The 25,924-nt window shown below is 34.6% G+C and overlaps 1 long non-coding RNA gene across 1 annotated transcript in view; it reads right to left on the bottom strand.

Moving 5' to 3' along the window:
• Window positions 1-25,924, bottom strand: part of NOVA1-DT (NOVA1 divergent transcript) — a 207,821-nt gene that overhangs the window by 64,052 nt on the left and 117,845 nt on the right. The window contains exon 3 of the long non-coding RNA NR_147061.1: window positions 17,622-17,668. This is a non-coding gene — a long non-coding RNA (NOVA1 divergent transcript). The remainder of the gene's footprint in view (window positions 1-17,621; window positions 17,669-25,924) is intronic.

Genomic DNA, 25,924 nt, shown 5'->3' with positions numbered 1-25,924 from the left:
TCAGTCCCCTAAAAGGATTAAAAGCTCAGAATAATAACTTTGATTGGAAGATTTCGAAAGTTACTTTTCCTTATAATAAATCACATCAAATTATTTCTTTTCTTTCTATAGAGAGATAATCAAAAATTTTAAAAGAAAAAATGGAGTCAACCCAATGACATAGTTGTCTTATTTATTCCTGAGAGCCCACACTTCTGAAGAAATCTATGGGTAGACAAATGGAAAAAAAAGGATGTCATTTACATAGTTTTTCAGGATATCTGTTATTCTAACTTTACTACATAGGAAAAAATTGAAACAGGATTTGATTGATTGTGAAAATGCCTTTTCTTCCTTCAAAAAATACCCCTTCAGTGGATGCATGTATTATTAGTGAAAATAGCTCAGTTGCATCACCTACTGTGAACATACAGCTGTATCAATCAATGCTGGTTTTTTTTTTTTCCTTCAGCAAAGCAAAAGAAAAATTTTTAGACAGGAAATGGAAAGGAAAGTCAAGTAATTGTGTTGTATTTTTTTCCCATTTGGGAGTGAAGTGAGCTTCCAGAAATAAAACAGCTGCAGCAGGCAATACATCCCCATTGTTATGGTTGCTGCTCTAATGATTTTAGGAGAGTACCATGCTATTAATTGAGCTTGCATCTTGTGATTTCCTAAAGTCTGCTCTCATGACTGGAACTATAACCAGGAGTCAAAACTTGACTGAGCTTGTTTGATGATGACATGCCCTTGGAGTCCCAGCTACTCAGGAGTCTGGAGTTCAAGACTAGTCTGGGAAACATAGAAAGACTCCATCTTTAAAAACAAAACGAAGCAAAAAATAAAAACAAAGCAAAACAACTTTCATTTCTCTTTCCCTGTGTCTTGTTTACCATCTTTGCTTTGTTCTTTTTGTCATTTAAAGAGAAAAAAGAATTTGTGCAGGACTTTACCTCTGGGCAGGTGGATTCTCACTCGGGACTAGGGTGCCATGTTGCACAGTGTTAAGGGTTGTTAATCAAAATGTAGCAAAAGCCTGGATATAAATGTTTTGAAGTTCCTGGAGTTCCACAGGGCACTATTCACCTAGAAAACAATATTAGTGCTGTCCCCTGGGGTTTAGGGACACAATAGTATTGCATGAAGCCTGCTATGTGAGTCCTCCAAAACCTTGGGCTCCAGTGAGAAACAGAAGCTGTAAGAAACTAGCTTCACCATCACCACTAAAAGTACCAACAGTCTGAGATAAGGAGAGAAGTCACTGGCAACATTTTACATCCATGATATGGCATTATGCTTCCTTCCCTTTTTTACCCTGTGGCTATTTATTTGGGAAGATAATAAATAAAGGAGTTATATATGAATGAAAGAAATAGAAGGTCATTCAATTTGTAGATAATGGTAAATTGATAGATCATACTGAAGAGTGAAGAGATCTTAGATAGCTGAAGAATTGAAAATTGTAGATGAGAAAAAATGGCCATTTTGTGCTGTAGCTTCAATTTACAAATGAGTAAATCAAAGCCTAAACAGGATTTTAGGTTCCTAACTCAAATCAATCAGGAAAGCTCTACTTCTTTATGTTTTATTTTAAAATGCTGCCTTGTAAGATTTCTTCTGCATAAAAGATTACCAGTGCCCAGCACAAACACTATCTTTCACCCAAGCTAAGGCATACCTTGTCTCATAAAAAGCAATTGTAAAGCAAGTACTTTAGGCAGAAGGATGGTAATCCTAGGAATGGAGAGAAAGGTAAGTGAAAAATGAAGAATGGTCATATAAAACAATAATATGTTTTATAGTTAAATATTAAGATTAAAGTATATAAATCAATAACATGTAAGTCTAGAAAGGGGCATTAAGTGGAAATAAAATGATCTACAGTTCTAATATTGTCTGAGAGAAAGACAAAAGTATTGAGTATGTTTGGACTTAGTGAATTAAGTATGCAAATTTTGATTTCTAGTGTTATCACTAAAAGAATTAAAAAGTGTATTTTTAACTGAGCAGAGAGGAAATAAATTCTTTAGCTGTTTCTTCTGCTATGTACTTTCATATTTCTAAGCAATCTGTTTATATGGCTGCTTGATCAATTTTAGACACTATTAATTATTTGCCTTTTATGTCATCTAACCACTTTTAATACCATGACCACACCATTTTCTTTTCTTGTGTCGTTCCCAATATAGTTATATCATGGCTCTGAGGTAAATCAATATTCAGCTTTAATACTGTCATGACTATATAAATAATGTTACTTGCTAAAACAAGTTTATTGAAAATGTATTTCCTTTCTTGTATAGCATTTTGCCATTTTTCTGGAATAATAATGGCCTCATTTTTCCTTTTCATCCATCATGTATCTCTAATTCTTCATAGAAGTTCCCTTGGAATGAGAACGAGGGAGGGGGATGAGTAAGGCTGAATATTAAAATATTTAACAACCAATAACTTACATATATGCCAACTAATCCAATAGTCTCTGTCCATAAACAATCAGCAAGACTGCTCCAGGATACACCCACCAAACATCAGCCCTGGGGATGGGAATTTAGGAGGAAAGAGTGAAACCTTGGAATGCTATTTGACCATTTAAACAATATGTGTAAATTATATCTGTATTAGGCCATTCTCTCATTGCTATAAAGAAACACCTGAGACTAGGTAATTTTCAAAGAAAAGAGGTTTCATTGGCTTACAGTTCTGCAGGCTATACAGGAATCATGATGCTGGTTTCTGTTAGGCTTTCTGGGAAGGCCTCAGGAAACTTACAATCATGGCAGCAGGTGAAGAAGGAACAGGCACATCACACAGTCCAAGCAGAAGCAAGAGAGAGAGGGGAGGTGCTACACACTTTTATATGACCAGATCTCATAACTCACTCACCGGTGAGGATGGCACTAAGGTGATGATACTAAACCATTCTTGAGCAATCTGTCCCCATGATCCAATCACCTCCCATCTCTAACACTGGGGATTACAAATGGACAAGAGACACAAACCATATCAATGCCAAATAAAAACTAAAATTAATTTAAAATATAAATATATTTGCTTATATTTAGTCCTTTATTCCAAGCTGATCAATTTGATGCTAAATAATTAATTATGTGAAATATCCACAAAATAAAATGCAAGTAGGTATTTGAAGAAAAAGTCTATAGCAGGGGAAAATGTGTCTGGTGTATAAGAGGATTGCTCAACAACCAAGGCACTTACTTTCTAACGAATAAATACTTTTGCCACTGTTTAGAGCCAGAAGCTGAATAATATACATGAAATTATTCAAAGCAAAATGAATTGAATTAAAGAGATAAGGCAGATTTCCTCTTGAGGAAACTGTGAAGCAATTGCACCCTATTAGGTGTTAATTTTCAACAGGTACTGCTTAAATGTAATGTAGCATCATCCTTGTATTTAATAAGGTCTCTGAGTTGTATGTCTTGGTGCCAAATTTTATACTGATTCATTTAAATTGGATGAAGTTACTACACCTCCCCCAACACAAATAGAGACAGACATGCCATTTAGTAACTGTAAGGGGCACCACATTAATTATCATTCTTAATTTCCCTCTAGAAATCATTTCTGTCAATAATTCTATCTCAACTAAGATGAATGGGAGAAAAGGGCATTAGATTTAAGCAGCAGGCTGCTGACAAACGGATTTTGGGACTACAGCCAAGATTAGATCATGAACGTATGAAACAGTGGAAACGTGTCATATATGCCATCTATTTTGTGGTGTACAAATATACAAAAAAGAGAGAAAAATAATCTTTCTTAATGTTGAATTTTTGTTAAAATACAGAGTACCTACTAATACAAAAACTTTTGTAGGCTCTCAGTATGAAAGACTTTTCTTTTGAATTGATTATCAAATGAAAGTCTTCCTCTTATATTTTGAAGTTCAAGGACAAAAGCCGGAAGCAAAATCTAGGAAGAATTCAAAAATAAAAAAGTGTAACTGAACATTGAAAACAGTATGAAATTTGCTATAGAGAAGATATTAAAACTCTGTGAATATCAAGCAATGCACAGAAATAAATTAACAATGTGTGTGTGAGAGTTACAAAGTAATACGAAACTATTAAACATTAAGTTATTTTATTCAATTCAATAAATATTTAAGAGAGGGTATGGAGATAGTAGAAAATGTCATGGTCTTGTCCTTGTGAAAAATATAATCTAAAAGTGGAAACAGAGTCATACAGAAATAATTTTATAATAACCAAACAATTAGAGATCTGTGGTTAATTTTGCCTGGGGCTGGATTGAGGATGACTATTTAAGAAAAACCTATTTGAAATATATGTAAGTGATTATTAAATAAATACAGAAAAAGATGCATTTTAGGCAGATGGAACAGCAAGAAAGCGTGAAAGTACACAATATATTGAACGAAGCATAAAGAGTGTGAGGTGGTTAGAATTTATAGCAAACTTTTTTGTCTGAAAAGAGCACTTATTGGGAGAAACTACTAGAAGTCTAACACATTTGCTGTTTCCTGCATTTATCTAATTTCTCAAACAATTAGATAAATAGCGTGTTCTATTGGAATTATGGCTCCAGCTCATGTTTATTTGTGCTCTCCATTTTGTAAGTAATTAGAATTTGTACTCCAAATAGAAATTACTTTACCTAATGTGTACAGCAATACCCTCTCCATAACCGTAACCACGCACCCACCAACAGGATCTAAAGCACTATCTCAAAACACAGGCATATCCTATCAGCAGCCTTTACAGGTTTGAGCATATATTTTCTTCCTATTTCTGTCTTGGCCACCTTATGCGATATTATCAACATAGGATATGAACCAAGAAAATCTAAACTTGAAACTTAGTTATTTTTCTACCACATCAACCAAGAAATAATGATTGTCCTAGCATATCAAAATGCTATTTCAGAGATTTTAAGAGCTACAGAAATTCAATCCATTAAAATAAGTTGTGGGAAGGCCTGGGGTGCTATTCAGCATAGATAAAATAAAGAAATATTATATTTTTACATAATTTTTATCCCCTTAGAAAAAGCATATCCTTTTTCAATGAATAATATACATAAAAGTCTTACATAACACCTGTTTGCTATTATAACTTTGTCATCTTCTTTATCCTCAAGATATTATGACTTGACACAATGCAGCTAATTTTTATAATTCACATCATAATCTCTCAATGTTTTATCTACATTGCCAATTTTAAATGTTAATAAAAATGTAAGGGAGTCTTTTGGAGTATGTATTTTAGCTATTGCTTGGATAAAGGGAATTCAGATGACTCTCAACTTTTCACAGCAGAATTTTCAATCTTTGATTTTGTGACCTTGTTCTCATAAATAAGATCTCCACAAATCTCATATTTATAATTTTATTGACTGTGATGTTAACACTCCTGATTTTGAATGATGGAAACTGTCCCTCCTTCAGCATTTACAATTATAAGGCTTTCAGAGACTTTCATGTTCTTTAAATGTTTTCAATATTAGTAGCCCCAAAGTTGAACGCCAAGTATTACTTAACAGCCCTGGTGTCAGGAGGGCCTTACAAAATAACCATGTTTGCATTTATGCTAGTTCTGAGGGGGATATTTGCCAGTCTTTACCTTCCTTGCGCTAGGAATTTCCAGCTGTTGAAGTAAAGATGAACATAACTTGACAACCCTTAAAGTCAAAGCATATAGATGTTCCTGCCTTCCAAATAAATTGCAAGCAATAATATTTGAAACAAAATTTTAAAAGGTGGAAATATTTATAATATTTAATGTGGAATGAGATCATCAACCATGCATCCCGATTGTCAAATATTTGCCAAAACTTCATAGACTTTTGAAAAACTGGTTTCATATAAGGCAAGTGATGGATATGTCAACTTCTATTAGCTTATGAGCTGAATTTTTCCAAATTATTCCTTATTATAAATATTTTCATTAAAAATTATAAGGAAAAAGAGAACATTCTTATTGGTTGTGTTGACTCATTGCCTGGGTGTTTGTTCCAGCAAAGGAATAAACAAAATAGGCTTTGGAAAATAACTTATCTATTATCATATATCTATGGAAATTAGTTTATATTTAAACAATCATGCTTTCATATGAAATCATATGAAACTTAGGAACATAAAAACTTTCATGAAAATCTCATCAAAGTCCATTAGGAAAGCTAACATCAGTCATGATGTTCAGGAACTTCATATAGAAAGAACTTATCTCACTTTAGGGAATCAACAAGACAGTTCAACTCTCACTTTCTCCTCTAAGTCATCCAAAGCTAGTGGTAAAAAGTCTTGCCTGCTTTTTCATCCATAATCATTATACAAGAAGATGTGATATTCAAATAACATTTTTAATGATATATTCTCAGGACATTTTTTAAACTTTTATGTTCAGGGGCACATGTGCAGGCTTGTTACACAGGTAAACTTGCGTCATGGGGCTTTGTTATGCAGATTATTTCGTCACCCAGGTATTAAGCCTAGTACCCATTAGTTATTTTTCCTGATCCTCTCCTTCCTCCTACCCTCAACCCTTCAATAGGCCTCAGTGAGTGTTGTTCCCCTCTATGTGTCCATGTGTAATCATAATTTAGCTCCCACTTATATGTGAGAATATGGTGCATTTGGTTTTCTTTTCCTGCATTATTTTGCTAAGAATAATGGCCTCTAGCTCCACCCATGTTCCTGCAAAAGACATAATCGTATTCATTTTTTATGGCTGCATAGTATTCCATGGTATATGTACCATATTTTCTTTATCCAGTTTATCACTGATGGGCATTTAGGTTGATTGTATGTCTTTGCTATTGCAAATAGTACTACAATGAACATACATATGCAGGTGTCTTTATAATAGAAAAATTTATATTGATTTTGGTAGATACCCAGTAATGGGATTGCTGGGTTGAATGGTATTTCTGTTTTTAGGTCTTTGAAGAATCATCACAATGTCTTCCACAGTGGTTAATTAATTTACACTCTGACCAACAGTGTATAAGCATTCCTTTTTCTTTGCAATCTCTTTGACTTTTTAATAGTAGCCATTCTGACTGGTGTGGATGGTACTCACTGTGGTTTTGATTTGCATTTCTCTAATGATCAGTAATGTAGAGCTTTTTTTCATTTGATTGTTGGCTGCATGTATGTCTTCTTTTGAAAAGTGCCTGTTCACATCCATTGTCTTAGGATAATTTAAGTGGTCTTCTGTCACAGAAAGAAATTAAACTCTACTTAAAAGTCAACTTTAATATTTTGCTTTAAAAAACGGTGGAAAATCACTTCAAAATTTTGAAATTTATTTCCAGATGCTAAGTCCAGGAAACTGCATGGTTATATTAGAAAAGACATAAAGTATTAACAGAAAACAATGAAAAATAATGGACATGATAACTAACCTGAATGATCAAGAAAAATACTATGAAATTAACTAATATTATAAAAGGAGTCAAGGAATCCTGAAATTCTAAACCTTTTTTTTTTTTTTGTATTTTTAGTTGAGACGGGGTTTCACCATGTCAGCCAGGATGGTCTTGATCTCCTGACCTCATAATCCGCCCGCCACGGCCTCCCAAAGTGCTGGGATTATAGGCGTGAGCCACCATGCCCAGCCTAAACCTTGTCTTAAGTTTAAACCAGCAATCAGAAGTGAGGTTCGGGGTTATATTTATATGGTTATTTTACTGGAATTCATAACAGAAGTGACTATTATGCTCTACTATGTTAGCACAGAGAATATAATAAATAAAAGACAGGCACCATGCCCTCAAGAAAATTATCATCCATGCTTTTCTCTTCATTTGCATATGGCAAGAGCTAAAAAACTCATATATCTAAGATAACTCTACACTACAATGTTGTAGTAGACTGACATTTTTATTTCTCAATCCAAATGGAGTTATTTCCATTAATAGGAGGAGGAGAGAAGGAAAAAGAGAAAGGAGAAAAACTTTACCTCTAATAATATAATTATGCTACCAAGTTTTATGTGAAACTTGTTTATAATAATGTTTGCTTTTATTGAATTTTCCAAACATTTCCCAAATATAAGTCACAAAAGTTGTTAGCAAAAGAAATATTCAAATTTGTTTTTTAAAGAGCTATTTTATGAATATACAATATTGTCAAGCTGTTCAAAAAAATGTTCCTGCACAATTTAAAGTACTTTGAAATATCTTTTATCATCCTTAACTTTAGCATTAGAGAAAATAGGAAACCACCAACTTATCTACCATCACTTAGCAACTTAAATACTTTAAGATTAGATCTTTAATAAAGATATTTAGCAAAAATAATTTGAATTCTTCTAAAGAAGTAGTATTGGAAAAGACAATGTTATCTAAGATTCTTAATGACTTTAGGCTAATTAAAAAAACAAAACTCTTATAATAGTAACACAAGGATTTCTCCTATTTGAAAATATTAATTTTCCACTGTGTTTTACATTATTTAAAAGTCACTTTAATATAATTGCACACAATATTTTGTCCATTTTTCTGTGTCATGGACCCACAGACAAATGATAAAAATTAAATCATAGAGGGATTATAATTACTAAAACTGAAAATGATCTCTGAAATTGGAGCTAAATATTCTCTAGCTAATGAAGCACATGGGCAGCTGTAAATTAACCAGTAATTCAAAATTTGTCAAAAGTATTTGGTAATATTAAACCTTAGCTAACACCACATATCAAATTTCTGTCATCTTATCATAGCAAGGCCACCTAAATCTTTAATTCTCCCTCTGGTTCAGCACTGTACTTAATAAAAAACACTTAAGACACACTTAACACACATATTAAAATTATGTTGAGTGAAATAAGCAAAGTACAGAGAGATAAACTGCATGATTTCCTGATATGGTTAGGCTTTGTACTCCCATCCAATTCTCATCTTGAATTGTGATAGTCATATTCCCAATGTGTCAAGGGAGACACCAGGTGGGGGTAATTGAATCATAGAAGTGGTTTCCCCCCATGCTGTTCTCATGATAGTGAGTGAGTTCTCATGAGACCTGATGGTTTTATAAGGGAAGGGGCTCTTCCCACTTCACTTGGTACTGCTCCTTCCTGCCACCCTGTGAAGAAGGTGTCTTGCTTCCCCTTTGTTTTCCACCATGATTGTAAGTTTCCCGAGGCCTCCCCAGCCATGCTGAACTGTGAGTCACTTAAACCTCTTTCCTTTACAAATTACCCAATCTTGGGCAGTTCTTTATAGCATTATGAAGACAGACTAATATATCTCCATATGTGGAATCTTGAAAAGTTGATCTCATAGAAATAGAGAGTAGAATGGTGATTATGAGGAGCTAGAGTAGTTGGGGTGGAGGAAGGGGTTCGAGAGGTATTGTTCCAAGTGTACAGATTTTAGTCAGATAGGAGGAATAAGTCCAAGAGATGCATTGTACAACATGGTGACTATAGGTAAAAGATTTCATTCTTGAAATACACTAAGAGAGTGGATGTTTAGTGTTCTCACTATAAAATGATAAGTATGTGAGGTAACACATGTTAATTTGCTAATTTAGTCATTCCACACTGTACATATATTTCAAAGCATCATGTTGTACATGATAAGTACATAAAATTTTATATTTCAATTTGGAAATTAAGTTTTAATTAATTTAATGTTTAAAAAACCCTTCAGGGTCTAATACAATTATTCCATGGGAAATATAAACTGTTTTATTTAGGTTTTTGTTTCCTATTAAGAGAAACAGATATAACTTGACATTTAGAAATATAATTTATTATTCCCAAATTCATCATACCCATTAAAATACAACTGGGGATAGAAATGATGTTGGAGCACTTTGGGAGGACGAAGTGGGTGGATCACTTGAGGCCAGGCGTTTGAGACCATCCTGGGCAACATGGAAAAACCCCATCTCTACTGAAAATACAAAAATTAGCTGGGCATGGTGGCATGTGACTATAGTCCCAGCTACACGGGAGGCTGAGGCACGAGAATTGCTTGGGCCTGGGGGCATAGGTTACAGTGAGCCAAGATTGCACCACTGCACTCCATCCTGATGACAGAGTGAGACCCTGTCTCAAGAAAGAAAGAAGTCTCAAGAAAGAAAGAGAGAGAGAGAGACAGAGAGAGGGAGGGAGGGAGGAAGGAAGGAGGGAGGGAGGGAATGAAGGAAGGAAGGAGAAAGAAAGAAAGGAAAGAAAGAAAGAAAGCAAATAAAGAAAAGAAAGAAAGAAAGAAAGAAAAGAAAGAAAGAAAGAAAGAAAGAGAAAGAAAGAAAGAGGAATGATGTTGGATACTCTACGTGTCTCCTAAAATTACTTCCATAGTTTAAGAAGTACAAACATGGCCATGATAAGGAAACATTCAGTTTTGTTTTTCCGATCAAACTTTGCTTCTAAGTAGAGAGAGACCAAATTAAATCATGGTGTTGGTGAATCATGCCAGTGTTCTTGGAAGGGGGGACTTAGTGTGACTTTCAGATCTAGACTGAACTGTGGTGGGCAAGAAATGGAAAAAGGGATCTAGATCTTAGAGCTTATTCTCTAATTTATTTTTCTTTTCCAGATTGAACTATTTTCTTTTCAACTACCATCGGCTCACACCACACACAAAACACATTTTTATTCAACCCTAAAGTTTGCAGATTCTTTTGAAACAGAGGAATTTAAAACCCATTAATGGTATTTATTTCTCATTCACTCTTCCACTGGTCACCCTGATCTTTAGTTTATTCTGCCTTATGATCTACCCTATACATGACTAATGGTATTATATGATGCTCCTCCAGTACTGTTTTTTATACTATTATTACCCTGGCTCCTTATAATATTATTAGCCAAATGTCCTTACCTTGCCAGCCTTTGAGTATGATATAAATTATATTTTTGTTTAATAATCCCCATCAGAATGTCCCAATTACTTATGTCCCTTCAGAGAGCCTTGTTTCTCTACTCAGTAACATTTCTGCGTGTTTTATTATAGTCTGGAATATTTCAATCTCTCCAGTGTCTCCACCAGGTGGCCCCACTGCCTCCATTACTGCTGCTGACCCTCCTAAGACTAGGCCTCCATTTTTCACAGCTGTCCTCAAGTGGGGGCCATTGCTAGACCACTGCTCTGGCATTGAAGGATTAGTCAGAATCATCCCTAAATGTTTATTGGTTTTCTTCTCAGCACTGGCCTGGCATAAGCTATACACCCATTTTTATTTCCTATGGCTCAGCAGAGATGAAACTATATATTTAAGATACATAGTTTTTACTAAAGATTTGCGTAAAAATGAAGGTAAAGTGCAAACGGGGAACTACTTACAACGACTGCTAGGTGTCACTACTCTCAGAGCACATAGGCTAAGAGGCTTCCTCAGTAATTTTCATCAGGCCTTCTCCCCATCCATTTCCAATGCTGTCAAAATGAGATTAAAAACCAGGTTACTCCTAACCAGTGGGAATACTTTGACTATGCACAGTTCCTAGTCCAGAATAAAACAGTCACAGAATACAACAAGAAACTTATATTTGTTTTCCCCCAACAAGGTGTAACACATATCCTTAGACCTTATTTCCTGTTTCGGGAGACCACCTTAGATAATAGGGAGACGGTGTATTCTTTTCAACCAAAGCCCTTCTACCTGTCACAGAAGTATATTTTAATTTGATTTCAAGAAGATAATTACACTGGAATATAGAACCTAACATCAACAAATTCTGTAATTATTCAGTCTTAAAAATATTGCCAGCTGTGAACATCAACAACTCAAACTGTGTATGGCTATGCCATGAGGAGATCAGTTCCATGACAGTTTTTCCATAGTAGGAGTTTTAGAAATTGCAGATGAAACTACCAGTATGGTTACAATGCATATCAAGAAAGCTATACTTAATTTCCTAGTCTACAACATCTGCACTCAGGTAACTTCAGCCATCCCTAAGACTATTGCTTTTTGTATACATAACTAAAAGGGTCTTGGTAATTGTTCTCGTATCTTTGGAATAGCTTTTACTGGCTGCTATATCCATGAAAAGCAGGTGGAGGGGGAGAATTATTAGTCTCAATGGGCAAATTTTACACTAGAGTATCCATTCCATGATATAACTTCTAAACTTAGCATCTTTAATCTAATCTTCAAGACCATATAAAAGTTTTCGATCACATAATTCATCAATATATAACTATTTCTTTACACTCTGGCTAAAAATCATCTCCATGATTTTTTTCTTACTGATTGCCACATCACTCCTTCTGCCTGGAATCTAAACTTACAAGTTAGATACAAGAATACAAGCCTGTATTCTTCACTTCCTTCAAAGCCAAGTGCAGCCAATGTTTATTGGTTGCCTTCTCAGCGCCAATTTTCCCCTTTCCCCTTCCTATTAGCATCTTGTTTTCATTTGAGATACAGAATCTTCTGAGGAATTTACTTCTCTCTCAAAGCCAGGGATGGGGCATATGCACTCCATACCCACAAGCCACAGTAATTCATTCAGAAATTCTCCCAGGATAACTCAGCCTCTGGAGAGTAAGAAGAGTGTTTGAAGTTTGGAATTCTGTAATCATTATTGTTTCCAGAAGAGAGGTGCCTGAATATGATGCCAACGTGCCGAGGGCAGCAGACACAAAAGCTTACAAACAAATGGAGCCAGATCCTTGATGACATTTTGTATCCCAGGATGAATTCTTTTCAGAAGCCAGATCTACCTTTGAACTTTCTTGTTACAGGAGCTGATGAATTCCCTTTATTTTTGTATCCGAGTGGGACTTTCTGTTTCTTGCAATGGAGGGTATATTTTCTACTACTCATAGTGTAAACTTCATCTTCTTTGGGAAGCCTTTTATCCTTGAAACCACCTGACTTTTTCTCTCCTACTTATCTTTTCCTTGGCTGTTAAGCTGCAGTATACTAGGGTAATCTGCAATAATCCACAGTAATGGCAAATTAAATTACCAAAAATCAGTTTTAGTATTTAAAATGTTCCTAATTTGATTACAAGCTTTAAAAGGCATAAAAAAAACCTTCTCTTGCATTTTTTCTGTCAAGAACCATATACAAATGTGGTTCTTGAAATTTTAATTCAGAAAATGTTGACAAATATCAATAAATGAGGCAAACAGCAAAAACAGTAGAATTTTGTTTTACAGATAATGACTTAGTAACATACATCTCATGGTTAATAGATTAACCATGTAATAGGTTAACACAATACTTCTGGAGGCTCCTGAGTGTGTTTGTAAGGGATGACAGGATAGTCTAAGATTTGATTCCAGATATCAAAGCTGATAATTTCGCTGGTGATAAAACTATTCATTAAACAGTTACAGAGCAATGAATGTTTTTCACAAGGCATCATTTAGCTTTTCTTCAGAACTGCAAATCCTCATTACAGAGAATGAGTGTAATTAATAGCTTAAAATTCATAGCAGGCTCTCAAATGCTGAGCTGAATTAATAGTTTAGATTTACACAATTCTCTTTCTAGATTTTATGTTGAATTGAATTCCAAAGTTAGCCATTTTCTTTTCCTAATTAGCCTCAATTCAAAAAATATTAATTGAATATTTATATTGTACCCTGTACTATGCACAGCTTTAGAGACACAATGGTGATCAATACAGGAGGTTTCTGTTCTCAGGGAGCTTGCTGTCTAGCACATATCAATACTTCAGATATATAAGGAAAGTAATTTGAATTCAATTTGAGAAATGGCGTGGGAAGCTCAATATGCTGTGGAAGTACATAAAAGGGGTGAACATTTTACCCGTTTGGTAGAATCACAAAAGATATCCCAGCAAAATCATGTCTAAGTGAAAACTTCAGGTTAAGTAGGATTCAGGTGGCTAGATTGAGGAGAGAGACAGTGTCGAAAGAATGCCGCAGGAAGACAGAACAGCATTTGTGAAGGACTAAAGCAAGACCATTAGGCAATAACGATTTGATATTTTGTTTAGTTTTGTGTTAAAACCAAATTGGGTGCACAGAAATACAAAAGTGAATTTTCTAACTTTTGAATTTTCAAAATTCTTCTCAATAAGCTAGAGCATTCAGGTCAGAGCTATAGGAAATCAAAATGAAATGTTGGATTTGGGCATCTCCTGATGTTGCATTTGAAATAACTCTTTGTGTGGGTTCTTTGGGTTAATTGTTGTAATAATTTAATATCAACAAAAGGAAAAAATTATGACTTCATTAACTTCCATTTGTCCCATATCAAAGATTAAAATCCCATTACTTGCATGGGTCATAGTCAGATTAACCTAATCTTACTGTGTAGTACGTGTTCACTGGCAGTGCACAGGCATTCAGGTAACAGGGAAATAGAAGAAAATTAATATTTAAGTGCCTACTACATGTCACTGTGTTTTATATATGCAATTTTATTTAATTTCAATGAGGAAGGTGTTATTATTTGTATTATACGGATGAGGCTACTGAAGCTTGTGAAGTTATCACTTGTTTAATTAACACAAAATTTGTCCTACAATATCTTAAAATATTAACACATTGGAGCAACAATGATGGATTTGAGTATTTAAGTTAATCCATTTGTTTTGCTACTTTCACAATAAATCACATATTTGAAGTTCTTATGATAGAGTCATTGATTAGGAAGGTTGTAGTTCACAAGTGTATATTTTAGATTTGGGCTTGCACATGACTTTGATATAAAATTATACAACTGTGTACAATGCCACAGCCATATGTGCCACGCTTAATAAAAGATCACAACCTGTGCATGCATTTGTATTTATTTTATACATGTTCTCTACAAATAAAACAGCCAGTTATAAAACAACTGAACACACAGTCTATGAGTTTATGACAACATCATACCTTATAATTGACTATGCTTTCTTTGAAAATAATTTAATTTGTGTAACTTTTATATTTATGACTAAGATACAAGGTGTCATAGGTACTGTTTTCCCAAATGGTTAACAAGTTGATCCAACAGTATTTATTCAACGTTTTATTCTTTCCTCTATCTGGCTTGAGAGGTCAATATTATTATATAGTTAAGTTCTCTACATACATGGTTCTATTTCATGTACTATTATTTTCACTAACCTGCTTGTTCTGTTGAATACTTTTAAACTATAAATGGTTTTGTTTTGTTTTGTTTTTTGAGATGGAGTATCACTCTGTGGTCCAGGCTGAAGTACAGTAGTGTGATCTCAGCTCACCACAACCTCCACCTCCCTGGTTCAAGTGATTCTCCTGCCTCAGCCTCTCAAGTAGCTGAGATTACAGGTGTGTGCCACCACACCTGGCTAATTTTTGCATTTTTAGTAGAGATGAGGTTTCACCATGTTGGCCAGGCTGGCCTCAAACCCCTGACCTCAAGTGATCTGCCCACTTCAGCCTCCCAAAGTGCTGGGAAAACAGGCATGAGCCACCACACCCAGCTATAAAGTATTCATGTTAATACCCTTATTTTTCAAAGCTTCTTTAGTTATTCTTCAAAATACTCTTCAGTTATTCCTTAATTATTCTTCTAAACATATAATCATTTTTTCAAGTTTTGTCTATAAAATTATATTTAAATTTTGGCTAAATTTTCAAGAAAATTTTAAGCTGTTTAACTTCGATGAAAATAAAAATAAGGCAGAAATGGCCTTATTGATTATGGATTTCCCTCTGCAATACATTATGTTTTTTCTGCTTTTGAAAAAGAAAAACAAAAAGTTATATCGCCTATGGAAATTTTAGGAAGTATAATGTTCTGGCTCAAAATATATTATAAATCAATGACAAATTTTACCAGGCAGTACAACTTAGCCAAGAAAAACATGGTTTGAATTATTGAACTGTGGTCCTTAAGTAAAATAAAAATAATTGAGTAAATACTGAGACCTGTATTAGTCCATTCTCACATACCTGAGAGTGGGTAATTTATGAAGAAAAGAGGTTTAATTGACTCACAATTCAGCAGGCTGTACAGGAATCATGGCTGGGAGGCCTCAGGAAACTTATAATCACAGCAAAAGGCAAAGGAGGAGCAAGCACATCTTACCATGACAGAGCAGGAGAGAGAGAGAGAGAGCCAAGGGGGAAGTGCCACACACTTTTAAACCAACAGATCTCAACAAAAGACAAAATTGACAAATGGGATCTAATTAAACTAAAGAGCTTCTGCACAGCAAAAGAAACTACCATCAGAGTGAACAGGCAACCTACAAAATGGGAGAAAATTTTCGCAATCTACTCATCTGACAAAGGGCTAATATCCAGAATCTACAATGAACTCAAACAAATTTACAAGAAAAAAACAAACAAGCCCATCAAAAAGTGGGAGAAGGATATGAACAGACACTTCTCAAAAGAAGACATTTATGCAGCCAAAAGACACATGAAAAAATGCTCATCATCACTGGCAATCAGAGAAATGCAAATCAAAACCACAGTGAGATACCATCTCACACCAGTTAGAATGGCAATCATTAAAAGGTCAGGAAACAACAGGTGCTGGAGAGGATGTGGAGAAATAGGAACACTTTTACACTGTTGGTGGGACTGTAAACTAGTTCAACCATTGTGGAAGTCAGTGTGGCGATTCCTCAGGGATCTAGAACTAGAAATACCATTTGACCCAGCCATCCAATTACTGGGTATATACCCAAAGGACTATAAATCATGCTGCTATAAAGACACATGCACACGTATGTTTATTGCGGCATTATTCACAACAGCAAAGACTTGGAACCAACCCAAATGTCCAACAGTGATAGACTGCATTAAGAAAATGTGGCACATATACACCATGGAATACTATGCAGCCGTAAAAGATGATGAGTTCATGTCCTTTGTAGGGACATGGATGAAATTGGAAATCATCATTCTCAGTAAACTGTCACAAGAACGAAAAACCAAACACCGCATATTCTCACTCATAGGTGGGAATTGAACAATGAGAACACATGGACACAGGAAGGGGAACGTCACACTCTGGGGACTGTTGTGGGGTGGGGGGAGGGGGGAGGGATAGCACTGGGAGATATACCTAATGCTAGATGATGAGTTAGTGGGTGCAGCACACCAGCATGGCACATGTATACATATGTAACTAACCTGCATAATGTGCACATGTACCCTAAAACTTAAAGTATAATAATAAAAGAAAAAAAAAAACAAAACCAACAGATCTCATGAGAACTCACTCATTATCATGAAAACAGCAAGGGGGAAATCTACCCCCATGATCCAGTTACCTCCCACCAGGCCTCTTTTCCAATTTGACATGAGATTTGCTGGGGAACCCAAATCCAAACCATATCAAGACCCCACTCCTCTGACTGATTGTAATGAAAGATAAATCTTCCTTTTCTGGTGGAAGAAACTTGAAGGAAGTTTACTTACTCCAATGAGTATATTTTCCTTAAATGCCTCATGTTAATTTCAGTGAACTAGGCTTGCATGGGTGAGGAAGAATTAGAATCAGATTCTAGAAATTTGTTGTTACAGTAAGATTTTGTTAATACCTGGAGTGCCTTTAAACATAGTTTTGTAAAAATTATTATTTATTTTAATATAAGGGTTCTCAAGATTTTCTTCAAAGTTGAATTCCAGTGATATCATGAATAAAACATATTGATCAGATTTTCTAATTATTTATTTTTGGTATATAAAAATGATATTGATTTTGTATATTGATTTTATAAAAAACATTTCATATAACTCACGCATTAGGTCCAGTAGAATTTCAGAAAGCAACCAGCAGAAAACAATCCTATTAAAAAAATGGACAAAGAACATGAGCAGACATTTCTCAAAAGAAGACATACATGTGGCCAACAAGCATATGAAAAAATGCTCAACATCACTAATCATCAGAGAAATGCAAATCAAAACTACAATGAGATACCGTATCACACTAGTCTGAATGGCTATTACTAATAAGTCAAAAAATAACATGTTGGCAAGGTTGCAGAGAAAAGGGAACGCTTGTACGCTGTTGGTGGGGATGTGCGTTAGTTCAGCTACTATAGATAGCAGTCAGGAGATTTCTCAAAGAACTTAAAATAGATGCAGCAGTTTCCATTACTGGGTATATACCCAAAGGAATATAAATTGTTCTACCATAAAGACAAATGCATGCATATGCTCATTGTAACACTTTTTACAATAGCAGAGACATGGAATCAACTGAGATGCCCATCAACAGTGGACTAGATAAAGAAAATGTGTACATATACACCATGGCTTTCTTTCTACACAGCCATAAAAAAGAATGAAATCGCGTTCTTTGCAGCAACACGAATGCACCTGGAGGCTATTATCCTAAGTGAATTAACGCAGGAACAGAAAACCCAATACCACGTTCTCACTTATAAATGTGAGCTAAATGTGGAGTACGCACGGACACAAAGAAGGGAACAACAGACACTTGGGCCTACTTGAGTGTGGAGTGTGGGAGGAGTGTGAGGATGGATAAACTACCTCTTGGATATTATGCTCACTACCTGGGTGATGAAATCACTTGTACACTAGGCCCCAGTGACAAGCCATTTACCCATGTTACAAACCCACACATGAACCCCTTGAACCTAAAATAAAAGTTGGAAGGACATAAAAAAGACTTTCAGTTGATTCTCTTGGGTTTCTCAGCTAGGTACATATTATCTACAAACCAAAAATGATTTTGGCAATATTTATTTCAAAATCTATGCATTTTAAAATTTTGTTTTATAGCATTACCTGTGTCTTCCAAAAAATAATGAATAATAATGACAGTAATCAGCTTTGTCTCTAGCATAGCACCTGCCAAAGCTATTTCAGCAAAATTTTAGTTCCATGTTAATACAATATTATTATGTGGAAGATTATTCTATGATCAGTTAGAAAAGCAAGTCTCACTAGTGAAAAAAGGCCCCGGAGTTTTAATATGACAAATGCTTATTGTGAATTTCCCAGAGTCTAATATTGTGTGTAGTTTATCCTCAAATTATTTGACCACTTTAGATCATTAATTCATCCTAAATTGAATTTATATTGTGAGTTGCTTGAAAACAGATATGAGTTGATTTTACTTTCAAATGATTACCTCTCACAAAATCATGTTTTTCTCCGTGGATCTGAGAAACCATTTGTAATAAAATATTTACATTTCTTATTCAGCATATTTTACTTGTATTATAGGTGCTTCATTGTCTTTAACATAGGTATTTTTTTCTATATGTGTACTATAGAGTTTCTGGTTTTGGTTTCTTTTACTTAGGTTTACACATGAATCCTTCGTCAGATGACTTTATAAGAACTTTCATTCATACTTCAGTGATCCTTTGATTTAAACTGTAGCTGAGATAAAATAGCCTTACCTACTTGATGTTATTACTGCTAATACAAATTCCCTTTTTAATAGTTTACGCTTGTTTAAAATATTTGTTTAATCAGTTTGTTTTTCAAGCATCTCTTGTAAACAGCATGTGATCATATTCTTTTATATGTTTGACTTGAACAATTATTATGTATTTTAATGAATAAATTAATCTCATTCATATTATAATTCATATATTTTATCTTATTTCAGTCAACTTTTTCTGAATAGACTACATTTTTTCTACTTTTACATTCTCCTGTGTGTTACGTATAAATCATATCTTGTTTTTAATTTTATTGATTACTTGGAATAGTAAATAACATTTTAAAAATGATTATCAGAATCAAGCCTTAATTGGCATTTATTGAAACCTGCATTTCTTATTTTTTCTTATTTTTTTCATCTAAACCCTTAGAAGGCAAGAACCTGCTTTTTCAACAATAAATTTCACATACTAAATCCTAAAATTTTTGCCTTTGCATCAAATTTTATTACCACATATGTACATATTTTAAAAATTTAATGAGTGTCTATATACCATGAACTGCAATGATTAGTTTATAATCTAAATATTTCTGGCTCAAATATAAATTACTGTAACACATTATTCAATTATAAAAAATCAAGGAGATGGAAGAAAATTAAACATTAAGAAATAAGTATATATGCTATTTTGATTTAATTGTGTTGTATTTTTAGAATTATTTTAGGTTACATTATTAATATCAACTTTATATGGACTTTGTGTTCTCTCTTTATGTTTTTCACTTTTTCCTCTTTTTTCCTTCCTTCTAATCTTCCTTTTTCCCTTCTTTTTTTTACTTCCTTCTCCTCTTCTTTTTCCTCCTGGCACATCTTTTATTTTTTCATCTTCACCTCACCTTCTTTCACTCTCACCCACAATCTGAGAATATCCACACAGCCATCTGGCTGCTTAAAGACTTTTCTTAAATAAATCTGTACTGAGAGGTAGCTATATTTCTAATTTAACCCTTTTGCTGCAACTACAAAGCTTGATATTAGACTCCATCATACAGAGCAGCTATATGAGTGATGGGAAGGGAATGAGAAGATGTTGCTTCATTCTCGTGTCATCTCAGGAGATAGTCCAATGTCCTGAGGTGAAAAGCAGCATTGCAGTAGTTGCAAGGCTTCGTGATGCTTCTGACTTTGCTAGAAATGCTCTACCAGAACAGGAACAAGAATTTTTTATACACACCATTGAATCTCTAACACCTACCCTATCCTAACACAATTATAAAGTTAAGATGTATAAGGAATAGTCTAAATTAAAGCAATGGCGAACATAACCAAAAACATTCAAATTATTCTATGTAATAATGTGTTTTTCTAAAATTAAAACAAGACAGATATGAAATGTATTATCCTGCTTTTTTAAAAAATGTGTTCCACATGATAATTCAAGTCTTCCTCCACTCTTTCTCTTCAAACTCTGTTACACCTTTATTCCTACAGAACAGCAAGGTCTTCATTTGATGGAGATGCATTATTTATATGCTGAGTTAACTTCCTCTGTTCTTTTCTCATTAGCGAGTGACAATTGAACTAGTACTGCACTGTCTTTTTCATGAGGTCAAATCGATGTTTTAATCTATTGAAAAACTTAAGGAACTAAAGTTTTTATGCTGTGGAAATGTCTTTTAATTGCAAATTTACTTTGCAAAAGGAATTATGTGTTATAAGAGGCAAAATAATTCAGCAACAATATACATGAAAATATTGTTCTCATCTTGATATTAAGACATGTCATCCCTAAAGGCAGCACAATAATATTAAATAGTGTCATTTTAGGTGATACTTGACATCTACAAAATCATAAATATGCATGCAAATCCAGGAATTGAAATAATAATCCAGACTGTATCAGCAAAATTTTTAAAACATCCACAACATTTAAAATTCTTATAGAGTACTCCTGTACCATAAAACTGCATTATCTAAAGACAGTTTGAGAAACAGTGAATTATACCATGCTCAGGATTACAGGAGGGAGAGGCATAAATGATTTTGATGTGAGAATGAACTAGAGGTAGGCAGGCTATAGCTGAAATGTCAATGAATTTTGTTGAAAATTTTGTCTCTCAGCTACTTGATGAAGCAATGAGGACAACTGTTTCTCTGGACTTAACTTTGACCAAAAGAAAAAAACTGGTTCATGAAATTCAAGTGACAGGAACCTGGGGAGAAAGTCAAGTTGTCATCTTAGTGCTTGAAATAGCCAAGAAAGGAAACACTCGGCACAGTCTGACAGATACTTAGGACTTTAGAAAAGCAGATTTCAAAACTTTCAGAGAGTAGATGTGAGTGATTCTACCACCTTAGACTTCTAAAAGAATTAGAGGCTTTTAAAAAGAAATTCTGATAAGAAAATTATAAATGACTTCAAGGAGGTAGAAACAAGAGGGAAAAGTACATAAGAGAAAATGTCATAGCTATATACACATTCCTGCGCTGTAATAGTGAGAAAGGAAAAACATTTCTACTTTTTTGTTTTTGTTTTTGTTTTGAGACAGAGTCTAGCTTGGTCACCCAGGCTGGAGTGTAGTGGCGTGATCTCGGCTCACTGCAACGTCTGCCTCCCAGGTTCAAGCCATTCTCCTGCCTCAGCCTCCTAAGCAGCTATGATTACAGGAGCGTACTACCACGTCCAGCTAATTTTTGTGTTTTTGGTAGAGATGGGTTTCACCATGTTGTCCAGGCTGGTCGCGAACTCCTGACCTCAGTTTATCTGCCCACCTCAACCTCCCAAAATGTTGGGATTATAGGTGTGAGCCAGATTCTTACATTTTGAGCATCTGTTATGTGGAAACAAGATGCTTGGTTGTTCCCATAGGTGATGTTGTGACAGGTGTTTCTATAACTATTTTATCGAAGAGAAAACTGAGGCTAGGCTCGAAGTGATTAAGAAGTCTCCAGAAATATAAAGTTCAGCATAGAACTATTAAGATAATTGAAGATAATAAAAATGTATCATCCATGTTCAAGGCACCTTTTCAAAAAGATAATTAATTATAGTGGTTGAAGCTGATCGTTTCACATTAACCAAAATAGTAGGCAAGTATAGATATTTAATCCTCAACTTATCTATGGTGAAAATTTTCTTCATACTACTAAAGATAAACCAAGTTCAAAGAAAAGATATCTAGATGGCTCTACCTATTATAAGAGGTCAATGTGTTTATGAATAGATAATTTATATTCTATTTTAGCAAAAGTATCCATCAAAATGTCCTGCCTTGGTCCCCTTCTTACCAGTGGGAATCTGACAAAAATCCCAAACCAATCAACTAACTGCTAGTAACTAAGCAGATTCATTCTCTATATAACCTTAACTCAAAACCTCAGAAAGAGTAGCTAGTCAGATGAAGGTAAGCAATAGAAGTGAAGAGTCATTTTCAGTTACGCAAGGATCAGCATTGTAAGTCTAAGCTATTTGCACAGTGAAGTCATGGAGGACTCATGACCATGAATAGCCAAAGAATCCAAGTATTCTGGGAGCATAAACACCAGAGGAATGCGTAAAAAGAAAAGTATAGATGAGAAGCCAGATCACCCTAGAAAGACACAAAGCAGTTTCAGATACCGGCTTCCAATTCCAGGCCTCAAGTGGGTAGGCTGCCATGCGTTTCTCATCCTTGGATATCTGAATGATACATTGTATGTGATGTATACCTACTGGGTTGTCTGAACATCATCTCTAGTTCTGGAAGCTCCCCTCTACATTTTACTTCTGCTTGAGAATCGGACAGTCATATTCATATAACATTATTCCATTTCCTTAACAATATTAGTTAATCCAGACATTGAAATCTCAGCCAAGTGAATCAAAAATCCTTTCTGCATAGAATATGAAATAAGAGATTTCAGCTTATAGGCCACTTTCTGAAATAGAACGGTTGTAAATTTTAGAGTTATTCATATTAGCTGTTATCTATTATTTTAACTAGAAAACATACATTTTCTCTATACAAATGAATACGGATGAGAGAAAAGGTGATGTGAAAAGGAAAAGAGAGACAACGGATTAAGAGAACTCGCTGAGTTCCCTTCAAGTGGACTGATGTGTGGTTGATTTCTAAAATACATTTCCATTCCTGCCTTTGGATTCCATGAGGCAGCTCCTATTTCTCATGTAATTACAGTATCAATGTAAGCAGCGTGAAGATAATCATGGTGAGTGGAAAGAGTGCTAGAAAATGGTATACAGATCAATGTATTTTTTCTTCTCTCATGGAAAATGTAAATGGACATACCACAATTATATATCATGGAGCAATCCATCAATTCCCAGCAAAATTCCAAGACATATAATTAAACGGATGGCTCATGAACACCTAGAAAAGGAAGAAGCAATCACTGAGAGCCACTTTGAGTTCACTAAGAATAAATTATACCAAATTAATTAAATTATTTAGACATAGTGAATCTGCATTTCAATGAGGCACTTAATGCAGTGTTTTGTTGGTGTCTTTGTGAACAAGATAGAGTACAGAGGATTTTTGTAAATTACGTGGATATGTGTTAGTTGAACAATTATTGTCAAATGATGATGATTAAATGGCTCATTTTTGAATCTGTGAATTGAATTGTGAGCTTTACTCACAATTTTAGTTTAAAAATAGATGTAGACATAGAAAGGATGTGTATGAACTTGGAGAGGTAGTCAAATATTGGATGACAGAATCATGATAAAAAAATCAATTTTTTTATTATGAAGGTTGAAACAGTAGATCAAATTGAGCAAGAAGGAATTCTGGAAGATAAATATAAAGTCTAACACCTAAATTTAAAAGTCAACCACAAATGCGGGATGGCAGAGATTGTGAATAGGAAGGAAATCCTCATGTCCTTGGAGAAATGGGACCCTACTTTGTAGCTCCATATTCACATTTCTTAATGCAATTCCTGGCACAACACAAAAGCTTACGTTAGATAATTTTTAATTAATAAGAGATTTAATATGAGCCAACAAATATATATTGCATTTTCATAGAACAGTGTTTAGCAAGGGAGTCAACAATATCCCTGTATCTTGCATTGATAAGACTATATTTGGAGCACTGTGTCTGCTTCAGATATTAATATCAATTAGGTGGAACACTGATGGGGTGTAGTGGTTCCAGAACTAACAGGAGGGTGAAAAACAGGACTCCTGTATTTTTCATGGTTCTCCAGAGCAAAAGAATCAGTAGGATATGTGTGTGTATGTCTCTGTGTGGGTGTCTGCGTGTATGTGTGACTGTGTGTATATATGGTATATATGTGCGTATATACATATATATGTGAGTCAATTCCTTCAAATTTCTCTCTACCCTAGAGAGAGAGAGAGAGGAGAGAGGGAGATTTGAAAGAACCGACTCACACAATTATGGAAACTGGAGATCCAGAGAAGAGAAGATGTTGAAATTCTAGTCCAAAGGCAGTCTGTTGGAAGAATTCCCTCTTCTTTGGGAAAGGTCAATCTTTTCCTTAAGGCCCTCAACTGATTAAATAAGACTTTCCCATCTTATGAAGGGTAACCTACTCTACTCAAAGTCTGCTGATTTAAATGTTAATCTTATCTAAAAATTACCTTCACAGAAATATCTGGACTAATGTTTGATCAAATATCTGCCCACAGTGACCCAGACAAGTTGACAAGTGAAATTAGCCATCACAACTCCATTGCTATGTGATAAATGGGTAAAGAGGGGAGAGAGATTTCACTTGGAAAAAACAAAAGTTAGGGAAATAAATGACACCTGTTTTAAAATATTTCAAATTTTGAAATAAAGAAAAGATTAGACTTTATCCCTGTAACTCTAAAGTGTTACCTTAAGATACAGGGTGAAAATTACATATGAATCCAGTGAATAACATTTTTAACATTTAAACTATACTATCTGATTGAGAAGGTATACATATAGCAAGAAATATGTGACAAGGTCTCGATCCTCAAGAAAATTTATAGCTTAGTTGCAAAGACAAAAATGCACACATAAAGTAAAACTAATTCATTCATTGAATAAACATTTTTAATGATCTACCACGTACCAGGCACTTCTCTATACGTTAGCAATGCAATAGCAAACAGCAAAATTCCCCTGCCCTCATGAAGCTAGTGAAAGGTACAGAAAACAAATGAAATGTGGATTTGTAACATACAGTATGATAAAAGTGATAACTGCTAATGAAACAGGAGAGTCTGGCTCCTGGCTAAAAACCTATGTGTGACTTCAAGTCCAACCACAGGAAATTATCAAGGCTTTATTTGCCAGGTCTCATATGGGAAAGCTGTTATAGCCACAGCCAACTTGGTGCAGCCAGTGCATTGCATCTCTGAAAGGAGTTCCAGTCAAAGTCTCAGGCCCCCTTAGCCAGCCATGCTTTATGTATAACCAAATCCCTAGCCCAGAAACCTTCATTTCAAGGCCTCTATGGAAGGCTTTCTCCAGATTCATCTGTCTAAAACTCCTTATTGAGTGCAAAGATGATGAGTCTCAAAGATCCTTTTCGCTTTGACTCAATACCAATGCTCCTCGACTTAGAATGGTGCTATGTCTTGATAAACCCATTGTAAGTAGAAAATAAAAGTCCAAAATATTATAACTGGAAAATACACTTAATGCTCCCATAAACCCACCTTAAAGTCAAAAAATCATAAGT

This window comes from Homo sapiens, chromosome 14 (assembly GCF_000001405.40).
Source record: "Homo sapiens chromosome 14, GRCh38.p14 Primary Assembly".
Classification (NCBI taxonomy): Eukaryota; Metazoa; Chordata; class Mammalia; order Primates; family Hominidae; genus Homo; species Homo sapiens.
This window is presented reverse-complemented; position numbering and strand designations above follow the sequence as displayed.